This window comes from Homo sapiens, chromosome 5 (assembly GCF_000001405.40).
Source record: "Homo sapiens chromosome 5, GRCh38.p14 Primary Assembly".
Lineage (NCBI taxonomy): Eukaryota > Metazoa > Chordata > Mammalia > Primates > Hominidae > Homo > Homo sapiens.
The window spans coordinates 65,601,987-65,614,603 of record NC_000005.10 but is presented as its reverse complement, the minus strand read 5'-3'; the positions used below and the strand labels follow the sequence as shown (position 1 = coordinate 65,614,603).

At 36.2% G+C, this 12,617-nt stretch overlaps 1 protein-coding gene and 1 pseudogene across 5 annotated transcripts in view; both read left to right on the top strand.

Annotated features, from left to right (window-relative positions):
- The window catches only part of TRIM23 (tripartite motif containing 23), a 34,644-nt gene that overhangs the window by 9,730 nt on the left and 12,297 nt on the right, over nt 1-12,617 (top strand). For 4 of the 5 annotated variants that reach the window (NM_033228.3, NM_033227.3, XM_017009444.3 and 1 more), the window contains exons 3-7: nt 385-506; nt 2,723-3,001; nt 3,561-3,743; nt 5,146-5,361; nt 9,559-9,693. In NM_033228.3, coding sequence (NP_150231.1) covers nt 385-506; nt 2,723-3,001; nt 3,561-3,743; nt 5,146-5,361; nt 9,559-9,693 — 935 coding nt within the window. Of the gene's footprint in view, nt 1-384; nt 507-748; nt 878-2,722; nt 3,002-3,560; nt 3,744-5,145; nt 5,362-9,558; nt 9,694-12,617 lie in introns of those variants that run through there. The other variant, XM_047417155.1, reaches the window with a different exon arrangement.
- Nucleotides 9,843-9,942, top strand: RNU6-540P (RNA, U6 small nuclear 540, pseudogene; annotated as a pseudogene).

Below are 12,617 nucleotides of genomic sequence, written 5' to 3'. Positions count from 1 at the left end.
GACGCCACACCTGGCTAATTTTTGTATTTTTAGTAGAGACGGGATTTCACCATGTTGACTGGGCTGGTCTTGAACTCCTGGCCTTAAGTGATCTGTCCGCCTCAGCCTCCCAAACTGCTGGGATTACAGGCGTGGGCCAAAGCACCTGGCCAAAAAATAATAAATTTTAAAGTGTGTTTCTACTTGGAAGGCTGAAGGATTCTTCTGTTTTTTAAGAGAGCATTAACAAAGCAATTATTTTGGTATTAAAAATGGGGAAAATTTGAATTTTAAAAATTTAGACATTAACTACTGAACTATATTAGAAATTACTTTTGAGGTATGGGTAAAATGATTAATAGTCCATTTTGTTAGATTTAGTTTTTGTTTTTATATTTATTCTAGGTGATTCAGGTGTCTGGGGATTGAAAAAAAATTTTGCTTTATTGGAGCTTTTGGAACGACTGCAGAATGGGCCTATTGGTCAGTATGGAGCTGCAGAAGAATCCATTGGGATATCTGGAGAGGTATTGATCATACTTGGTGAAATATTTGTTACGAGCATGAATTTTTCTTTTAATAGATGCCATTATTAGCACAATATTACTTCATTTATTTCAGCAGGTAAATTTCTAGAAACACAACTTTTCATTACATTACAGTTCTGAAGGCCAACACTATTCCCAAGAGAAAAAACTAGAATTATTTGAAAATCCTATGCCTAAACTATGCTTTATGTGTGAACTTTTTTTTCCTTATCATAATTCAGTTCTACCAAGAATAAAGTGAAAAGAGGAAGAAGATTATGGAATAGTAAGAAAGATATGTAAGCAACAGTAGAGAAGAGGATGCAAAAGTAGTCAACAGTAAAACTCAATGAGAGAAAGAAAAACTCGATGTAAGAGGCCATTTAATACAGAGGGGAAAATGCCTTAAAGATAGCAGTAACTTCTGAGGGAATTGTTACTGTTATAGCTTCAAGAAAAGGTTAAACTTTGTATAGATGTACTGTCTTTATCCATACAGGTAGATGTCTAGTAAATATCAGAATCCATGAACACTGGATTTTAATAATGTAAAAGTATATTTTTAGCACTTATGTGTTTGCATAGCTGCACATATGTACTATAGGACATGGCTTTCGTAGGCTGTTATGGGTAAAAATATATTTGGAGTAAATATCAGTTAATGATTTTGGTGATCAACTTGCAAACCACATATTTTGTATGAAGGAAAAAAAATGTCGGATTGCTTTCACTTCTCTTTCATTAGATGATGATTTCTTTATACTAAAGTGAATCAGTGAAATGAATTTCAAACTGCAACACTCTGTTTTCTAAAAGTTATGCAGTTCTTTCTGTGCTAAATCTTTAATCTTTATTTCAAAAGACATTACTGTTAGCTAATGTTGACATTATAGTTTATAATTTATTTATTTGTCAGGTCTGGGAAACAGAAGACCTGAATTTTTATGGTACATGTGTTTATTTCTCATAATTGCAAACAAAACTCTTCCACTTTGGATTCATTTTTTATTTAATGTGATAAAGAATGACACCATTGATGTATTTAAACATTTTTATTTTTGAAAAAATTTATACTAAATTTCTCCCCTTCCAATTATGGCCTTTTAATATTGAGTAAAAGTGTTCAAAACATTCTTGATTATCTGACATGTAATTTTTTATCTACTTGAAATAAAAGTAATTATTTCATAATTAGTTATTTTTTGTAATTCCTGAAAACTAGAAATAATATTTACATGCTTACATATAGGTTTTATTTATTTGTTTATTGTTATTTTTTAAGACAGAGTCTCACTCTGTCACCCTTGCTGGAGTGCAGTGGCGTGATCTCAGTTCCCTGCAGCCTCCACTTCCTGGCTTCAAGTGATTCTCGTGCCTCAGCTACCTGAGTAGCTGGTATTAGAGGCATGTACCACCACACCTGACTAATTTTTGGATGTTTAGTAGAGATGGACTTTCCCCATGTTGGCCAGGCTGGTCTCTTACTCCTGGCCTCAAGTGATCACCTGCCTCAGCCTTCTTAAAGTGCTGGGATTACAGATGTTAGCCACTGAGCCTGGCCTATTTTTTTTTTTATTTGCTTAAATCAGTGGTTTTCTGCCGTGATTGTGCAATAGACTCACCTGTGGAGCTATTAAAATAACATGGCGTATAATTAGAAAAATATATACAAGTCTAGGGTTCATCCACAACCTGTTGAAATAAGAATTTCTCTTCCAGACAGCTATGTTTTTAAAAGCTTACAGCTAATTCTGATGCATACTCCTACATTTTCTAAATAGCATTTGTGCTTCTGTCCTTCCTATACATCATCATGACAACTAATATTTAAAGCTATGGGGATGTATTTAATATCAGATTTTTGTAGTTTTACAGAAAGACTTTTGACTTCTCTATGGTTTAGTTTCTTTTGTGTAAAGTGAGGGGATTTGGTGGAAGAGATCTTTGCACCGAATATGAATCTATGAGAATAGTTCTATTTTTGGCTTCAAATTCATAACATATATTGGCCAGTTAATCTTGGAAATAGCTTCTTACCCCTAGAAATGAATGCTTCTCAGATGAGTATTGAATGACCTTTGTTCTTAATGACCAATATATTTTCATATGTAAATATTGTTCAGTTAAGCAAAAAGGATTATGGATTCTATATTTAAAAATTCGTCATGTTATACTGATTGGGTTCAATTTTAAGGCATTAATTTTTTGTTTATCAGAGCATCATTCGTTGTGATGAAGATGAAGCTCACCTTGCCTCTGTATATTGCACTGTGTGTGCAACTCATTTGTGCTCTGAGTGTTCTCAAGTTACTCATTCTACAAAGACATTAGCAAAGCACAGGCGAGTTCCTCTAGCTGATAAACCTCATGAGAAAACTATGTGCTCTCAGCACCAGGTGCATGCCATTGAGTTTGTTTGCTTGGAAGAAGGTTGTCAAACTAGCCCACTCATGTGCTGTGTCTGCAAAGAATATGGAAAACACCAGGGTCACAAGGTATGAATTTAATTATTAATCAGTTGGATCACTGTAGCTACTTTACCAGCTCAGTATTCGTTTTCACTGACCTGGTTCTTTATTCTGAAAGTAGGGATTGAAGAAGAGTTAAGTGATGAGTGATTGGGTTTGGTAGCATGAAAATAAATGAGAGATTTAATTTCTGAATGTTATAAAAAAAAAAAAACTTCAAAGAGGCATCATGATTCTTCACAAAAAAATAGCTTTCGAGCAGGAAACAAACATTCTGTTTGCTTGCATGTTTTCATAATGCACCAGATTGTTTTGACAATATTTATGTCTGTTAGCTCTTACTTAGGATATGATTTTAGAGATAGTCTCTTGGTTTTTTGTTTAGCAATAAACGGACTTCCAAATTTTAAATTACTTCTTTGCAGTACAGTTTTCTTATAAAGGAGTGAAAGTAAATTAGTATTTTTCTGTGTCATAAAAGTCACTTGTGGCTGATGCTTTTTTGTATTAATAGGGATTTAAATAGTTTTTTATATTATTAGTCAATACTATGAGTTCTTTTCTCTAATTATGGTACATTTTATAGCATTCAGTATTGGAACCAGAAGCTAATCAGATCCGAGCATCAATTTTAGATATGGCTCACTGCATACGGACCTTCACAGAGGAAATCTCAGATTATTCCAGAAAATTAGTTGGAATTGTGCAGCACATTGAAGGAGGAGAACAAATCGTGGAAGATGGAATTGGAATGGCTCACACAGAACATGTATGGATTTTTTTTCTTCTTCACTTTCTCATTCTTTTTTATTTTTCATATTTTCACCTTCTACTAAGTAATTAATGGGCAATTACAATTTGCCAGTATTGCACCAATCATTAGAAAGTTTTTTAAAAGTCCCTGTCTTTCAGGAACTCATTCATCATGGAAAAGAGAGAGTTTGAAATATGGTAACTATTTTATGGAGGAGAAGTACAGGGTGCTTTGGCATCACAAAACAGGGACAATGATTTATGGAGGTCAGAGAAGTCCTTATAGAAGAAATGGTGTTTAAACTGAGATTTGAAGAATTTCAGTCAGGGAAAAGAGCAGAACGGGGAATGAGTTGTCCCAAGAAGGGAACAATATGTTAAAATGTTTGTAAGTGAGGATTGTACATATTGTAGAGACTTAAAGAAGCTCACTGTAGTTAGAGCTTTAAGTATTGAATGGGACATGACAAGAAAAGAGGATATGGAGAGTTCAAAGCCAAATCATGCAGGATCTTGTCAGCCATGTTAAAGAGTTCAGAACTTAGTTTAAGGACAGTGATGAGCCATTGAAGAATTGACTTAGGAATGATATAATCAGATTTTCCTCAAGAAAGGTTGTTTTAAATGTAGAAAATGAATTGGAGGAGCAACAAAATTGGAAGCAGGCAGACCTATTAGGATGTTGTTAAAGTTTTCTAGTTAAAATACTAGAGATGTTTATGGCCTATAATACACTAGGGTAGTGAGAGTGGACACAAGTCAATGGATTTGAGATTTTAAATAAGTAGAATAGATAGGTCTTAGTGATTAATTGTTAATATTGATTGGATAGGTAACTTAGAGGTGATGAGGCATGATCAGATTTTGGGTGTATTTTGAAGTCAGCAGAATTTGCTGAGGGACTAGTGGGCTATGAAAGAGAGCTGATAATGATGACTCCGGTTGTTTTTGCTTCAACATCCTGAAGGATGGAGTTGCCATTTACCAAGACAGAGGCAATTAGGTTTGGGAATAGGGGAGACTGGAGATTAGGCATTCCATTTTGCTTGAGATGTCATTTATAAACAGTTGAATTTCCAATGTCTGTGCATTAGGGGAAAGATCTAGCATGGAGATTTATATTTTGGAATTTAATATAGATGGTATTTAAACAATGTCTCGCTCGGTCACCCAGGCTGGCATGCAGTGTTGTGATCACCACTCACTGCAGCCTTGACTTCTGGGGCTCAATCAATCCTCCCGCCTCAGCCTCCTGAGTAGCTGGGACTACAGGCACATGCCACCACGGCTGGCTAATTTTTTCCATTTTTTGTAGAGACAGAGTTTTGCCATGTTGCCTAGGCTGAAATTTTAAATATTTCACAGGTAAAATCTTTATTAACATTACAGTTGCTTAAAATTTATTTTCATTTTCTTAGGTACCAGGGACTGCAGAGAATGCCCGGTCATGTATTCGAGCTTATTTTTATGATCTACATGAAACTCTGTGTCGTCAAGAAGAAATGGCTCTAAGTGTTGTTGATGCTCATGTTCGTGAAAAATTGATTTGGCTCAGGCAGCAACAAGAAGATATGACTATTTTGTTGTCAGAGGTTTCTGCAGCCTGCCTCCACTGTGAAAAGACTTTGCAGCAGGTAGGTAGTTTAAATGTGGTTAGGGACTTAGTTGTAAGTTTAAGTAGATAATTACCAGAGGTATACATTAGTGTGTTTTATTAATATTTTGTGTCTGCTGTATGCAGTAACTTTGTGCTTAGGAAATGGTCTGCAACCTTGAATTATTTCACTAGTATGGAATTATCAGTGTCGTTCACGTGCCTTTCCCACCATAAGCCATGGGTTCTTGAGGCCTTCTAACTTCTTGCCATTCTTCAGTTATGCCAAATCCTTTTACTCTTCTTTGCCAAGCATATATGTAGTTTTTTTTTTTTTTCTGCTTGGAGTGCATATATCTCTCTTTTCTAATAGTGGAAATCTTCCTTCTCCTTCAAGGTCCAGCTTAAATATTTGCCTTTCTTTGAAGCTTTCTATTTGTTGGTCTTTTTTTGAGTGCCTCTCTACCATGTACTGCCTACGTCTGCTATAATTCAGTGGTTCTTCACTGTTAGAGCAAACGTATGTTTTGTGATGGTTGAGATACCATAAGAAATTTGTTACCCAGTTTGCAGATGACTTACTTTTTTAAATAAATGAGATTCAGTTATTCTAACACAAATGTCAGCTTTACCCATTTGTGTTTTGGATCTGTTTTCATAAGTGTGAGGTATAAGAATAACTATTGCCCTAGGAATTTCAGAAAAGCTGCAGTCTGTGTTATCTTCACTGATATATTGCTAATAATTGTGTTGATTTCAAATCATTGTAGGCTAAGCCTTGTACCATTGTAGAGCTTTTTCTCTTAAATATGTGATTACACTTACATGAGAGTGGCCAGTCTATAGCCTCATCAGTCTTGGGTTATCATTTAGTCCTTACCACACTGAATTGTAACAGTTGATATGTATGCTATTTATTAAGTTGATTTTCAGCTCCAAACCTACTCTTCTATCCTCTATTTTGTGATACTAGGGCTAGAACTCTACAGACCTCATAATTGTGTTGCCAGCTGGGCCCATGTTAGGTACTGTCAAGAGGGGGCATAGTTACTCATGTGAGGAGACCACCCTTCTCGGAGGTTTGAGTTTCAGCTCCATGAGCCACTCCTGCAAGTTTCTAAGTTTTAATAATTCTAACTTCTTCCTTTTATTCCTTTAGCACTGGAAGTGGTAGCTATGTTATTTCATACAATTGCTACCTCCTTAATACCTCAGAGTTCCTTTTAACCTTTTAGCTACCTAGTTAATAACTACACCTAGTTAACAGTTTTTATTTTAAGTTCTTTCTATTCAAGTAATGGTGTGATTTGTGTCTTCCGATTTGACCTTGAATGACACAATATGCCTATGTGTTTTAGATGCTGACCTTGTTCATCTTTGATGCATCTTGTTCATCTTTGTGTCACTAAATTCTTTGCATCTAGATAGAAAGAGCTTAATAAATACATGTTTAACTCATGGCGGATAATGAAGCTACATAGCAAAATCAGAGTGGAGTCATGTCCTAAATCATATTTACTTGAACACTTAAAAGTATTTTCATATTTATTTTATGAAAAAGTTTGTTCATAGTTACTGAAATATTTAAGTATTTTAGAGTTTCTGAAGTGTTGTGCCAAAATGACTGGTATATTAGTCCATTTTCACACTGCTTTACAGATACTACCTGAGACTGGGTAATTTATAAAGGAAAGGGGCTTAATTTACAGGTTTGCATGGCTGGGGAGGCTTCAGGAAAGTTAGACAATCATGGGGGAAGGCGAAGGGGAAGCAAGCACCTTGTTTACAGGACGGCAGGAGAGAAAGAGAGAGCAAAGGAGAGGTGCCACACTTTAAAACCATCAGATGTCATGATTAATCACTATCATGAGAACAGCATGAGGGAAACTGCCCCAATAATCCAATCATGTCCCTCCCTTGACATGTGGGGATTACAATTCGAGATGAGATTTGGGTGAGGACACGGAGCCAAACCATATCAACTGGTAATTTTTAATGATACAGTATTATCTATGTTAATGCAAAAAAATCAAGGTCTTGGATTCATTTTTCATATGGACCTATTAGTTTTGTTCTATTTTATAACTACAGAATACTAACCAATGTTCTTTAAAGTTCCCACTACAGAGAAAATTGAACAGAGGAATGGATGGAACATCACAAATTGATCTTCACTTCTGAGAACATAATTTAATCATCCATCCACTCTAAACAAATTATGCATCATCTAAAGTTCTTGGCATGATACTGGATGCTGAATATTTATTCATTTAGCAAATATGTATTGAGTAGCTAACATATGCCATGTATTTAAAATATATCAGTGAACACAATAAGCAAAAAGCCATAATCTTGTGAAATTAGCATTCTAGCAAGAAGACAGGCAATAAACCATAACCATATCTAAGTAAGTTAATTATACTATATGTTAGAAAGTTCTGAGAGCTAATCAAAAAAGAATTCTGCAACTACATGTTTATGTTTGTACAGCAGATTGCATTAATAAGTAGAGTAGTCAGGGTAAGCATTATTGAGGGAAGGTGAGATTTGAGCAAAGATTCAAGTAAAAAGTTGAAGGAATTCGTTCAGGCCGTAACTGGGAGAAGAACATTGTAGTTGAGGAAATGTTATAGCAAAAACCCTAGGGCAGCATGCCTGGTATGTTTGAGGAACAGGAAAATAGGCCTCTTGACTGGAGTAGAATAAGCGAAGGACAGAGTAATAGGAGCTGAAATCAGAGGTTAATAGAGAATTATATGTAAGGAAGGCCCTGTGAGGCATTATAAGGACTTCAATTGTTTTTTTTTTTTTTTTGGCCGGGGGCGGGAGGAGTGGGTTGGGGACAGGGTCTTGCTCCCAGGCTAGCTAGAGTGCAGTGATACAGTCTCGTCTCACTATACCTTCTGCCTCCTGGGCTCAAGTGTTCCTCCTGCTTCAGCCTCCTGAGTAGCCTGGACTACAGGGGCAAGCCACCACATCCAGCTACTTTTTTTGTATTTTTCGTAGAGACAGAGTTTCGCCATGTTGCCCAGACTGGTCTAAAACTCCTGGGCTCGAGTGATCCATCTGCCTTGGCCTCCCAAAGTGCTGGGACTACAGGTGTGAGCCACCATCCTTGGGTGGACTTCAACTTTTACTGATTGGGATAGGACCATTGTAGAGTTTTGAGTAGAAGAGTGACTTAATCTTATATGTTAAAAGGATTTTTCTGGCCTATGTGTCTAAAATAGATTGAAAGAAGGCAAAAATGGAAGGAAGGAATTCAACAGTTAAGCAGCAGTTGTAGAATTCCAGGTGAGAGGTAATAGTGGCTTGGATAATGGGGATTAGAAGTGCCCAGATTCTGGATGTTCAAAAGGATTTGTTAACAGATTGTACGTAGGGCATGCGGGAAAGAGAAAGCAATAATGACTTCAGCGTTTGTCCTGAACAACTGAAACAGTGGAATTGCTGTCAACTAACATGAGTATCTAACAGTGAGCAAAAACAGATAATACTACCGTTCTCATGGAGCTTGCATATTATTGGGAGATCTCTTTCATATAAAGACTATGTTGGTATATGTATAGATAGTCTGGAATAATATTCAAGAAACTGGAAAGTTCTTGACTTTGAGGAGTGGACCTGTATTCTTTATTTTTTTTAACGAATACATGTATATCTGAAATTAATTTTTAAACTTTTTATAGACATAGAACATAGATATAGAAATGTATGCATAAGTATTCAGTTGGCTGAATTTTCAGACTGATCATTAATGTGTAACTAGCACTCAGATCAAGTACCAGAACATTGTCAGTACCCCAGTAGTTCCCTCATACTCACTTCTGGCCACTACCTGCCTTTCCCACCATGATAAACCACTATCTTGACTTCTAATGTATATCTTAATTTTGGTTGTTTTGGTAATTAAATGAAATCATACAGTATGAATTCTCCATGCCATGTCTTCTTATACTCCACATTATGTTTGTGAAATTTCTATCATCACGTGTAGCTATGGTTTATTCTCACTGTGATGTAGTGTTCCATTTATCTATATGCTACAATTTATCCATTCTTTCGTTGCTAAGTCCTTAAATTATTTATTAATGCTCAATTATTATTTTTGTCAAATTTACATTTAACTTTGACTACTATAATGTTAAAACTGCTTTTATTGTGAGTTGGTAATATAAGTCTCTTTTCCTTATTTCTTATAAAAAGTTTATAAGAAATATTGTTTTGCCTCTTATAGGATGATTGTAGAGTTGTCTTGGCAAAACAGGAAATTACAAGGTTACTGGAAACATTGCAGAAACAGCAGCAGCAGTTTACAGAAGTTGCAGATCACATTCAGTTGGATGCCAGCATCCCTGTCACTTTTACAAAGGTAATGTACTGTACTTTATTTTTAGGTATTTTTTCTGACAAATCATAATTGATTTACGTTTCATGATAATCACCTTAAAGAGACAACCATGAAATTCATGAATTAGGGGCTTTTTAAGAAAACTTTTATCAGTGGAAAATAGAAATGGTGTGCTCACTTCGGCAGCACATATACTAAAATTGGAATAAGAAGATTAGCATGGCCCCTGTGCAAGGATGACACACAAATTTGTGAAGTGTGCCATATTTTTAAATTTAAAAAAGTAAAAATAAGAAAATATAAATGGTATATATATGGTATATATAATGAATCTTCCTGTATCCATCACCCACTTGAGCAATTATAAACTTATTTCATCTCCCCTTTTACCTACTCCTTTTCCTACCTGCAATCTCCCAGGGTATTTTGAAGCAAATCCTAATATCATATTATTTCATCCCAATATCTTATTTCATCTATGAAATATTTTAGGGTGTATCTCCAAAAGATAAGGACTCTTTTTAAAAACATAATTGGGGCCGGGTGCGGTGGCTCACACCTGTAATAACAGCACTTTGGGAGGCCGAGGCGGGTGGATCACCTGAGTTCAGGAGTTTGAGACCAGCCTGACCAACATGGAGAAACCCCATCTCTACTAAAAGTACAAAAATTTTTGGCATAGTGGTGCATGCCTATAATCCCAGCTACTTGGGAGGCTGAGGCAGGATAATCACTTGAAACCAGGAGGCAGAGGTTACAGTGAGCTGAGATCACGCCACTGCACTTCAGCCTGGGTAACAAGAGCAAAACCCTGCCTCAAAAACAAAACAAAACAAACATAATTGGGCATGGTGGCATACCTTATAGTCCCAGTTACTCAGGAGGCTGAGGTGAGAGGATGGCTTGAGCCCAAGACTTCAAGACCAGCCTGGGAAATACAGTGAAATTCCCGTCACTTAAAAAAAAAAAGCCAAAATATCATTATTACACCAAAAAAGTTTAATAATGAATCTCTAATATTTTCACTAATATTATCAACTTGTTAGTATTCAAATTTCTCAGATTGTTTTCAAAACAATTTTTTTAATGGTTGCTTTATTTTAGATACAATCCAAGCAAAGTTTCATACTTGGGATTTGGTTGATATATTTAAACCTCTTTTAAAGTGGGTTCTCCCTGATTAAAAAGTGTTCATGTGTACCATTTTGCTTTCCATTTTTAGGGGCTGGTTTTTTTTTAATTTAATTATGTTTTCACAATTATGTGAAATGTTTATGTGATCCAGAGTCAAATGTTCAAAGCAAGGTTTATTCAGAGAAATCTAGCTTTTATGCCTGGTCCTTCTACCCTTTTTACTTCATTCCCCATAGAAAATCATTTAGAATTTTTTCTTAGTTTTAGTCATCATTTTAAAAAGTATAGAGACATATGTTTATATATTTGTATGCACACCACTTGGATTTAAAAGGTGGAATACCTTACACACTTTTTTTTTCCTGCTCTTTTTACTTAGCTGTACATCCTAAACATCACTCTGTAGCAGTAGAAAGTGACATTTTTTGTTCCTTTTTCCAGCTGCAAGGTACTTCATTGTGAGGATATGCCACATTTATTTATCGTAGTAAAAAACACATAATAAAAAATTTGCTATCTCAACCATTTAAAAATGTACAATTCAGTACTGTTAAGTATATTCACATTGTTAAACAGATATCCAGAAATTTTTCATTTTGTAGAACTGAAACTCTATACCCTTTAAACAGTTCCCCTCTGCCCCCTCTCATCGGTCCCTGGTAACCACTATTGTATTTTTCCCTTATGAATTTGACTAGATACCTCATATAAGTGGAATCATACAGTATTTGCCTTTTTGTGGCTGGCTTATTCCACTTGGCCTGTCATCAAAATTCATCCATATTGTAGCATGTGAAAGGATTTTCTTCCATTTTAAAGCTGAATAATATTCCATTGCATGTGTGATATGGTTTGGCTGTGTCCCCACCCAAATCTCAATTTGAATTGTATCTCCCAGAATTCCCACGTTTTGGGAGGGACCCAGGGGGAGGTAATTGAATAATGGGGGCCGGTCTGTCCCATGCTATTCTTGTGATAGTGAATAAGTCTCATGAGAGCTAATGGGCTTATTAGGGGTTTCTGCTTTTGCTTCTTCCTCATTTTTCTCTTGCCACCACCATGTAAGAAGTACCTTTTGCCCCCTGCCATGATTCTGAGGCCTCCCTAGCCATGTGGAACTGTAAGTCCAATTAAACCTCTTTTTGTTCCCAGTTTCGGGTATGTCCTTATCAGCAGCGTGAAAATGGACTAATACAGTAAATTGGTACCAGTAGAGTGAGGCGATGCTGAAAGGATACCCAAAAATGTGCAGGCAACTTTGGAACTGGGTAACAGGTAGAGGGTGGAACAGTTTGGAGGGCTAAGAAGAAGACAGGAAAGTGTGAGAAAGTTTGGAACTTCCTAGAGACTCGTTGAATGACTTTGACAAAAATACTGATAATGATATGGATGGCGAAATCCAGGCTGAGGTGGTCTCAGAGGGAGACGAGGAACTTTTTGGGAACTGGAACGAAGGTGACTCTTGTTACTGTTTTAGCAAAGAGACTGGTGGCATTTGCCTAGACATTTGTGGAACTTCAAACTTGAGAGAGGTGATTTAGGGTATCTGGTGGAAGAAATTGCTAAGCAGCAAAGCATTCAAGAGGTGACTTGGGTTCTGTTAAAGGCCTTCAGTTTTATAAGGGAAGCAGAGCGTAAAAGTTTGAAAAATTTGCATCCTGATTGTGCAATGGAGAAGAAAAACCCATCTTCTGGGGAAAAATTCAAGCTGGCTGCAGAAATTTGCATAAGTAGCAAGGAACCTAATGTTAATACCTAAGACCAAGGGGAAAATGTCTCTAGGCCATGTCAGAGACCTTCATGGCAGCCCC